This window comes from Homo sapiens, chromosome 10 (assembly GCF_000001405.40).
Source record: "Homo sapiens chromosome 10, GRCh38.p14 Primary Assembly".
NCBI classification, from domain to species: domain Eukaryota; kingdom Metazoa; phylum Chordata; class Mammalia; order Primates; family Hominidae; genus Homo; species Homo sapiens.
Window position 1 is genome coordinate 111095062 of NC_000010.11, and position 11087 is coordinate 111106148.

Here is an 11087-nt window from a genome sequence, read left to right on the forward strand (position 1 = left end):
TGAATTTGAAGTGAATTTCTTTGTTTTGCTTCTTTAGTTGGGTGTCACTTTGTCCTTGTGTTATGATCAACTTTCTAATTCAAACTATGTTGACACTGCCTTAAACAGTTCTTTGAACTTATCTAGAGTCCATCAAACCAAGGTCAGAAACCCATAACCCACGTGCTGTCCTATGGGGACCAACAGGTCGAGTATATAAGGTTACTTGGAACAACTCCTTGGGAGGGTGGGAGGAACTTTCAGTTATCCATCAATTTCTGGGATTCTTTTATGTTATTGGATAGGAGGTAGAGGACTTCTGACCGTCTGGGCTTCCAGTCTCAGGGTCCAACTTACCATTTGCATGTTTCTAAAGAGGACAGAATGGTCGTTCTCACAACTATTTCCTGGCTCTGCAAATAGCACAACACCATCATCGTCCCAGAGGCATGGCCCAAATCCTGGCTGTCCTGTAACAGGAGCTGTTGCCACCAAGTGACTTATTTCATGGTGAAACCTTCCAGAAATGGGTTTAGACATCGTTGGAAAGTGTATGTATTTTTGTGCATTGCATTTTGGGGACATTATTTGATCTAGTTGGCAAAGTGAAGCCAGATGAGCTGAGAGCATAGGTCATTTGGGCTGCCAGCTTTCTGCACTTAAATATTCTGCTTTATTCCCCTCACATTTCTATAGAAGTTCAGCTTTCAGAACTATGCAACAGTATTTGGACACAAGACTCTGTAAATGCCAATAATCTCTGTAAATCATCTATGTGTGTACATGAATCCAGTGAAAAATAAAGGAGCATTGTGGTCAAATGTGTGGACCCTGAAGTCTGCACACCTGGGTTCCTCATTCACCTGAGGAATGAGGAATGTCTGTCTCAAGGAAGAGAGGAATGTTGGGGACCACATTTCTTTTGTCTTTCCAAAATCAGCTGGGGTGTCACTGACTCACCAAATTCCTCCATGTTTCCCATTTACAGTCTTTTTGGGCTGCTTCATCACACCACGAAAGGGGATGTATTCTGGATCCTTGTCTTGCCACATTATTTGATTATTTATTATTTATTGGTCTATGTAAGCCTTTCCTCCCTCTCTAGCCTGAAACTGCTGGGTGGGTCAAGGCTGTGCCTATCCCGCTCCCCACCTGAGGTCTATCACAGTGCCTGCAGGTTGAGGGTGTTTGGTATGGCCTTGTTGACCCTTGGGCTCTTGCTGCCATGGTGATGGGGTTGGTCAGTAGGTGTGAAGGAAGAGCCTGAGGGCAGAAGTTAGGGGTGGGAGGAGAGGTGTGGGTGGGGTGGCCCAGGGAGTGGGGGTCCAGTGAAATAAGGAGGCTAGAACTTTGCTTCTTTGTCCGAGGAAGGTTCATGTGGCCCATTAGCTTTACTGAGAATGGACCTGGATTCGTGGCCTGAGGTGGAGCTAGAGACTTGGAAGCAACCACGGCCATTTAACCAAGGTCCATTGCCCTGGTGATGTGGGGTCCTTCCCCTGGGCCAGCCCTTCTCTTGGGCCAGTTCTGTTAGGTGGTCTGTGTCCTGCCCCATGGGGTCTGAAGGACATAGAGGGGCTAATGGCCAAAGAGCTATGGGCAAAGGACTTGCCCTTATTCTTCTTGTATGGGAAGCATGGAGGGGACCTGGAGTTGGTCCCTGATCCTCTACTGTCTGCAGCCATATCCTCAGGATCTCATGGAGGCAGGAAGACCCAGCCTTGCTCTCAAAGCAGCAGGCCCTGATTCCTACCACCTCTGCCTCAGCTTGCCCACTGCGCCTCCGTGGGAGCCCCTCCTCAACCATATGCCCCAGCACATTGGCAGCATGCTCAATTGTTGGCCAGGGAAGAAACTTACAGCTCACTAGAGGAGTGACCCTGCCCCTCCATCCCCCACCTGAGATGGTCTGGGGTCTCTTGCTGGATCCCAGATGTGCTTCTGTGTGTGTGTGTGTGTGTGTGTGTGTGTGTGTGTGTGTGTGTGTGTGTGTATGAGGGAGAGACAGAGAGATGGAGGGGGAGAGAGAGAGAGAGAATCACTATAAAATTGGGGGAGGAGAACAAGTGGAAAGTCACAGAGAGCACTTCTTCCCTCTTGGCTGCCCCAGTCCCCAGCCCTATGGAAGCTGCCTGTCCTGGGCATGAGGAGGCTGGGAAGGGAGTGCAGTACAGAGGGCACAGTGCTTCCAGGGCTTCTTACCTCCAGGAGTATACTTTTGGGAAAGGAACTCAAATGTACAGCAGCTCCTCCTGGGTTACCAAGTGTGTAGACTTGTATAGGCAGCTGGGCCTGGCCCCTGAGCCGAGCCCCTGGGGCCGTGCAAAGAGGCTCTGACCCTCCCATTTACTGTCTTCCTGACTTGAGCACACCATCTCCCCTTCCACTGTTTCTACTTTTTCATCTGTAAAATGGGTATCCTACCACCCCACTCCAAAGGTAAGTCTAAGGAGACCACAGGTGAGGCAGCGCTTTGCAAACTCTAATGTTCCTTGCCACAGTGCTGATGGACATGGTGGATGACAGAGCACAGGAGCCCCGCACTGAAGTGCTGGGGGTCCGCAGAGGGACAGGGAGGGACAGAAGAGGCTGCTCCAAGGAAGGGCGTTTGGTTCCCACAAGAGTCGTGGATCTTTGTTTTCTTGTACTGGGCCACAAGGAACCAGAGGCTCAGCAGGGCTTTGGGGTCGTGGATGCAGGCAGCTGCAGGGGATGGAAAAATAGGCACAGTCCCTCATTGCCTCAGATTTATCTAGTTCTTTGTCCCTGGTTGCAGAGGGTACCTTTCCAGACTGTGGTGGGAACTACAGGGGCCCTTGGACCTTCAAGTGTGATTTTATTTATTTATTTATTTTTATGGAGGTGGTTCTAGGGAACTCAGGAAGAAAACTGGCATCCTGGCATTGGCCACCCCTAAAAATACGATGTGATGTGGCTAACGAGAAAGCATAACAGGCCTGGCTCTGCATGGCCTAATATAGCCTGGCATTCAAGCCTCAACCTTGACGTAAATGGGGATTGGTAATTGAAAGCACGAGAGGTCTCTTGGATGGGATGACGGGGAGCCTGCTGCGATCTCTGAGGTGGGCATGCCAAGGGGATCGGAAAAGCGGCCCCAGGGGACTGTCCTGGGTTTCCCAGTGTGGGTAGGGTTGGGGCCTGAATGAGGACAGCCCCCTGCAGCCTCCTGCCCACACTCTGCCTAGCGGGTCAGCATCAGACTGACCAGTCCAATTAGCCCTCATGGGGAGGAGTGGTGGGCTCAGCGCCACCAGAGGTCATAAATTCCATCACCCTGACCTCTTGAGAGCAGAGTGGACCAATCTCTCCATTCCCTTGCCTTGCCAGCACCCTGGCTAGCTGGTTTTGGCCCTACATGGACTTTCTGAGAGAATGTGGCCCAGTCCTCCCCCTCAAACAGAGTATTGATGCCAACCTCGAGTGTGGAAGCATCATGGAGGCAATGCCAGACGCTTTTTCTTCCTCATCCTCTCTCCTTCTCCTGCAAAGACACAGATCCATGAGTCAGCGAAGAAGCTAAAGGACTCTGATGTTATTTGGTACTGACTTGCGACTCAGGTCTGGGGAGGTAGAGGGGGCAGAATGTGGGAGAGGAGAAACAAGTTTGGGAGTGAGAATGGTTTCCCTGGGGCCACCTTGTAGGGTGACCACTTCATCTCTGTTTGCCTTGGGCCTTCCTGGTTTTGGCACTGAAAGTCCCAAATCCCAGAAAACCTCTCAGTCCAGGGAGAACTGGGATGGTTAGTCATCCTTTCCCATCAAAACCTCTGAAGTCTGCTCCTCATGGGAGAACCATCTCTGGACTGGTGTCCCAGGTGACTCAGCCAAGGACCCAGAGCCTCCTGCTGGCAGAGCTAGGACTTGAATACAAATCCAGGGCTGTTTGCCCCCAGCCTGCATTACTCAGGTCCTTCCATGAAGTGGGACACCTGGTTCTCTCCAATGATCTTGGCCAAGGCCTTTCCCCAGGATGGAAGTGGTGGTGAAATAGCCAAAAGAGGGAGGAGAGGGGTGAATGAGTCACCCCTGGAGATACAAAAATAAGACCCTGCAGCTCACCCTGGCTCAGAAATGTGGGATCCCAAGAGGGGAAAGATGCGATCTCTGCCCTTAAGGAGTTCATATCCTGCTTAGAAAAGTGCAGTGGACTTGCCTTTGGGTGCCTGGCTCAGGTGCCACTCAGTGCCACCTACACACACTCACCAGGAAACAATAGACAAAGGGTGTGGCTTATCAAGATTGCATTACTCTAATTTCCCTTATAGAATGTATTCATTCAAGAAATATGTATTGAATATTTGTTCTTAAGCATGCTGTTCCTTGTGTTTGAAACATACTCTTCTCTTTTTCCCTCCTTCTCCTCTTTCACCCCCACATCCCAATTCCACCCATTCCTCAGGTCCCAGCTCAATAGGTAATATTTATTGAACACTTAGTATGGATCAGGTGCCATAGTAAGCACTTTGCACTGCTTTAATTGAATACATTTAATCCTCATGAAAGCCATATGATTCTATTATACCCATTTCACAGATGAAGAAACTGAGTGGTTAACCGGCTTGCCCCGTGACACATGGCTGTTCTCTGTTAGGCTGGGTTGTAGCCTGGCGTGCACCTTCCCTGCAAGGAAGGCTTTCCTGAGCCCCGGTGCCCACTTTCCAAAGCCCCTATAATTAGTCTCTGCTGGAGCACTTGCCACCAGGCTGTGACACACAGTGTCCTTGTCTGTCTCCTCCATGAGATGGGGTTCCTGGAGGGTTGGACTCCTTCCTGCTGTATCCCTGATAGTAGGCATTGAGGAGGAGTTTGGTAAATACCTATTGGATGAATAAATGAATGAATTGATGGATGAATGAATGAGTTGCCTCAATGGCCACAGAAGCTCTGAGGTCCTCAGCAAAGGCCTTTGTTTTCTCGCTGAGGGGCACTCCACACTGGCAGCATTGGACCAAGAAGCTCTTGATGGCACAAGGCAAACAGCCCTTCTGAGTAACCATATAACTGTGACATCAGGAAACAAACTGATTTTTAAATACTAAAATAAGTTTAAACTTTTTAAGGTAAATGACATTCATGAATTCTCAGGATGAAACTGAGATTTGGAGGAAATTTAGTGCTTGTGTTGGTGTCGACAGACAAGTCTCAAATTTCACCCTTCACCCAGCCCCCTGCAAATTCTCCTCTGCTGTTGGAGTGATTTGGGGAAAAAGTTTGAGAAATGCCGCCTAGAGTAGCTGGCTGGAGCTCAGGACATGGGATGTCTGGATTCAGCGTGGGCTGAAGGAAGGGCATTTCAGGGAGGGGCACTGCAGGAGCAAAGGTACAATAATGGGGACAGGCGGACCTCTGCTTGTTCCTTGTTCCTGGAGCTGGGTGAGCAGCCAGTCCCTGTGAACGGCTCTGAACATGCCAATAGCTGTTGCAATATATGATTGGCAGCCACATCCCGAAGTACCACCACCACCATCACTTGGAAAACCTCACACTATTTTTAGTCCCTTTAGCTCAAGAAAATATTATATCATCTCTTTTCCTCCCTACAAGCCAATTCATTGTTGATCTTGTCCCGTCATAAAACCGTGTTCTCCTTTTTAGCTGTGCGAGACCAATCAGCGGTGGGGTGGAGTCCCTCTGCTATTTTCATATTTTGTGTCACTTGTTCACATGGGAAAAATCATGACATTTTCCCACGTTGGGGCCCTGTGCAACCTGGCTTTGAATTTTAAGCAAGTAATTGCTCTGGATCATGCGAGGGGGCCGATGAGAATGACCGACCTGCAGGGCTCAGGGTTCCAGGCGCCTGATGTTGGCATGACTGGGGCTCGATGCCTATGATCTTGTTGATTTTAGAAGCATTTCCAAGAAAAAGAGGAGGAACCAGTGCCCTGTAGAGTGGTGGGAGAAAAGAGGGGCAAGATCCTCCGTTGGAGGAATCTGCTCTGATTCAGCAGGAAGGCCGGGAGATGCTTGGTAGTTCCAGTTCATTGCAGGTTTACAAAATGCTTTTCCACCTTGATCTCTTTTGGTCAAAGTTCTGGGAGTTGGGTTGGGCAGAAGGCATGATCTGCCTCCTACAATTGAGGAAACAGAAAGGGCCAGAAAAACAGCCCGGCACCCCATGGAGCTGGAAGGGGCAGAACCGGGCTGCAACTGGAGCGGCGTAGTGACTGATGTGATGGGTCAGGGGTTCAGAAAAACATGGGTATGTATCAGGCTTTTCCATTTACTGGGTGAGTATCTGCACAGTCACTTCTCTTCTCTGAGCCTCAGTTTTCTCAGCTGTAAAATGGGGATGATATCCTCTCACAAGTTGGGTAGAATGTGATGATGGATGTGAAGTATGTAGTAAGTGCTCAATGTATGGTCCGTATTCATACTATCAAAACTATTTCTTGCTGCAGATTTCCCCTGTCTCTACGTATCTTGCCCAATCTTCACCTCTCTCTTTACCAGAGGGTCCCATCTGTTATCTCTTTCAACTTGTAGCCAAAGAAGCTTAAATACTATGTAAATAGTTTAAAAATTCAAGGCACAGACATGTCTGTTGTGTTCTGGATCTGCCAAGAGACATCCTTGCCATTTCTCTGCCACTTCTAGCTCCATGGGCCCCTGGGCTACTTTTCTGCCCATTTGTTTTCTCAGTTATAGGAGGAAGATGATGCCTTCTGCCCACCCAAAATCCCACAACTTTGGCCAAAAGAGATCAAGCTGGGAAAGCATTTTGCAAGCTGCAATGACTTGGAGATATGCGTGTCCTTTCAGCAGTGAAAGGGGATTAAGAGAAGCTGCCGCCATGGGCTGGAGTCTGACCTGGCATCATCTGGACAATGGCTGGCATTTGTGGGGCTGTGAGTTTCTAAGAAGGAAATTACCTTGGCACCTTAGCAGTATTAAGCAATGGGCAGCTGTCTAGAGCCCCATCTGTAGGGGACACACACAAAAAAACCCACTGGAAATTTAATGTCACAGGCAATGTTTACTCAAGTGCTTACAGGGAAAGTTTGATGAAATGGGAAGATCCTTTTTGGATAAGCTGCGTGGGATACAGCATAGTCTCCCAGAGTGAGTGCCAAGAGCATAAGATGGTCCCTAAATAGGGTGGAGACAACCATCTGAGGAGCTTTCGGTTTGCTGGGTGTATTTGGGGCCAAAGCTGAATGGCTTGGGGAACCCGCTTGCTGTGGGATACGTGGGTCTCTCTATCATGAGTCCAGGCTGAGGCTGGAAAGGTGGAAAGGGAGGAAGGTGCAGTGAATATCAGGCATGTGACTGTCCTGCTATTAAGTCATTTACCCAGACTGTCCCACCCCAGCCTGAGGTTGACGTGATAGGGGCGCATATATTAGGCAGATGCTGTGGGAACTCCCTGAATGATTGCCCAGCTCTGGGATGGACCTGGTCATGCTTAGAGGAAAACAAACCCTGCCAGGCATTCAGGTGGCCCGGGAGGTGGGGGTGCTGGCAGTGAGTGTGTCTCACAAAGGCCACTGCCCTAGAGGCAAAGGCTGGTTGGAGGCTGGCCCAGTTCCTTCTGTTCCTAATCCTACAGAATCTCCTTGAAATTTCATGGGCCTCAGGGGTGACCATGGGCTGAGGGATTGAACGCTCCATGGCAGAAGCTTCACTTGGTAGTGAAAACAGCAACCTCTCCACCACCCAGTATGAATGAGCCACAGCTCCAGGCCTCCTGCCATTCACATGGTCTAGGCAGATGGTCCAGCTAGTAGCTGTGCCTGTGCTGAGCTCCTGCTGTGTGCCAACTACTCTGTTAGGTGGCTCCTCCTGTACCCAGTTTTTAATCCTTCCAATAAGCTTGCAAAGTCAGTATTAGAATTCCCATTTTATAGAGGAGGAAGCTGAGGCTGGGGTTAAGGATTCAGCCTCTAGGGGGTTGGGGACTCAGTCCTGGTCTAGAAGGACCCTCCCTCCCATGCATGTCTTCCAGTTCTAAAGTCCACACTGGATGAGATTTCCAGTGTCCTGCCCTGCTTGCTGGGTCCTTGTGGGTTTTCGTTGTGGGTGAGGGAACTTCAGGATTCACAGATGCCGGCTGACTTAGGGTCTGGGGAGCTGGGCTCCCACCCTATTAGGGACCAGCCATAGCTGCTGGGGCCTCCTACTTAGGTGAAGAGGAAGCAAATAGACAGTTGTTTGTGGGGCCCTGCACAGAAGGTGGAGGCGTGCTCAGGGGAATGGGGTGGGACTCCTTCTCCCTGCACCTTTCCAGCTTTTCTGGGCACTTGGTAGTGGGAACCCCAGGGGCCAGTACTGCTTTTCTTCTGCTTTTTGGGGTGGAGCTGGGAGGTGTGAAAAGGAAATGGAGGCCCTGGGCAGAGGTCAAGCACAGAGGATCAAAAGACCAATGTGGTATTTGCTTGTCCCATTTCCTTGCCAAAGGCCACTCCTGAAGCACAAAGCCCGGATCTTCAGAACTTGAGCCTTGCTATCCTTCTGGAATTCTGGACTGAGACAGGGCAGGGGGCCATGGCCAGATGGATTCTTGCCTCGTTCTAGCCAGGGGAACAGCCGACTTGTTGGGCTGGACCAGGAATATGGCTGGCCCCTCACCCACTTTAGGAATCCTAATTGATTTCTTTTTTACATTGCACTTTGCAACTCCCTTCTCCTGCAGGTGAAAGGGGAAATTGGAAGGTAAAACCTGCGGTGGCAAGGCCTTGAACATTTCTTATCATCTCCAAGTGCAGGGTGGAGAGAGTGACAGCTTTATGATGATTAACCTGTGGGTCTGCTGCGTTGGAAAAAAATTAATCTCGAGGCCCAAGACCCCCCGGCCCCCGGGCACTTTTAAATGCTACTTTCTCAAGGCTATGAACTTGATTCTTCCCCTCCAACTCATTGTGTTTATTTTGAATAGTACTTCTTAGGAACTTTTACATTAAGCTTTACTAGCTGATGTTGCTTAGTTTGGACTAACGTCTATAATAGGCTTATTTCCCTGGTGTAATAATGGAAAATATGCTTCATTTCATGTGCCGCCTCGGCTAAATTGTAGTGGTAACATGGAGCTCTGTATTGGGAAGAATCTGGGGCCAAGACCAGACTCACCAGAAAGTAGTGCTGTGATTGATTAGCAATGCCTGTCATGGCCATGGGAGGCAGGAGTGGGGACACCTGTGCCATCCCCTATTTAGGAGATTAATTTCCCCACTCCTATCTGTCTAGTCTGTAGCAAACAGACCTTTAACATAAAGAGTCAATGCTCTTCTGCAAGGGTCCAATATGCTGTGCCCAGTAGGGCACCTTATGCACTCCAGAATAGTCTTGATTTTCACCCAGCTTTTGAAGTGAAAAAAAATTTTTTTTTTTGAGACAAAGTCTCACTCTATCGCCAGGCTGGAGTGCAGTGGTACAATCTCGGCTCACTGCACCCTTCTCCTCCCGGGTTCAAGCGATTCTCCTGCCTCAGCCTCCTGAGTGGCTGGGACTACAGGCGCCCGCCACTATGCTCAGCTAATTTTTGTATTTTTGGTAGAGACGGGGTTTCACCATGTTGACCAAGATTGTCTTGATTTCTTGACCTCGTGATCCGCCCTCCTCGGCCTCCCAGAGTGCTGGGACTACAGGCGTGAGCCACTGCACCCTGCCCAGAGTTAATTTTCTACAAAATAGATACCATCAGCTCCCTGCCACCTACAGCAACACACATAGCCCTTCAACACGTGGACCCAACTTTTCTCCCTGGCCTCATCAGCAATACTCCTGCACGTGCACCTTATAGTCCAGGTGTGTGGAATTTTTCTCATTGTGTTCGGAATTCACAGTGCCCTTTCCTACATTCTTGCATTCTCATGTATGTTCCCTTTGCCTGGAACATCTCTTCCTTTCTTCTTATCCTTTAAGATCCAGCTGGCCTCTTCCGCTGCGTGCGGGATCCTAGCGCAGGGGCAGCGCAAGTTCCAGGCGCCCAAGCCAGGGAAGAGGCAGCGGCGGCCTCTGAAAGGAACCGGGGCCGCAGGAAAGACGGTCGTTTTACAGCTCCCGAGAAGGCGTGCGTCGGTCAGCAGCAAAAGCTTAAGAAGAATCTAGAAGTCAGGATCTGGAAGAAGATCGAACATGCCGTGGTGATGAAAGCCAGCAACAGCCTGCCCAAGAAGCTGGCACTGCTGAAGGCCCCGACCAAGAAGAAAGGGGTGGCTGCTGCCACCTCCTCCAACAAGACACCTTCCTGAGGATGCTGGCCCCAGCACAGGCCAACACTGCAGCCCCCACCTCCATGATGGGACCTTACAGGTGATCCCACAGGCTGCATTGTCAGGAAGACCACCCTGTCCCCCAGCACTGGGTCTCACCTAGAACTTCATTGGGGGCCTGGCCCTTGGGCAGCAGATCCTAGGGTGCTGAGAACCCAGCAATGGCCAGGAAGATACAGTCACCAATCTCATCTGCCCCTGTCCCCCTTCCCAGGTCCTACCTTCACAGGTTCAACCCAGAGCAATAAACCTGGCTTTGTCATTTAAAAAAAAATCCAGCTAACATGTCAGTTCCTCCGTGAAGTCCTCTTTGATCCCTCCAGACAGATTCGTCCTTCCCTCCATCATCTGTATTCCCACAGCATTCTGTTCATTTTTCTGTCATAGCACAGGGCCATATAGACAGACAACTAAAGACGCAGCAAGCTGTTTCCCATTAGACTGGCAGCCTCTGGAGGGCAGAGACCACCATGGGATGCCGCGGTGTAGCACTGCCCCTGGCTCCCAGAAGACGCTTGGTGAAGGATGACTGAAGCAATCAACGTGAGGATGAATGAACTCCAGGATGTGTTGTAAAGTGACTTGAATTTTGATTCCCATTTGTTCGAGCCTGCCAAGGCTTAAATCGCGTTTGTTGGAATGCGAGGAAAGGAGGAAGAGTGGTGATTGAATGTGCTTGATAAAACTTCTCTATTTTGTGTTTGGAATAAAAATGGGAAGCTTGAGATAAAACGGTGCTTGTTTCAGTGCTGAACAGGCTTCTCCAAGCAGGGCCTCGTGTCTAATACTCCCCTAGAAGTGGGGAGGGTGGCACCAGGCTGGGCACTGTCATGGGGTCAGTATAAGGGGTGGCAGTGGGATGGAGGTGGGAGACAC

The 11087-nt window shown here is 50.0% G+C and overlaps 1 pseudogene; it reads left to right on the top strand.

Annotated features, from left to right (window-relative positions):
• On the top strand, positions 9873-10474 carry LOC724065 (chromosome 19 open reading frame 53 pseudogene; annotated as a pseudogene).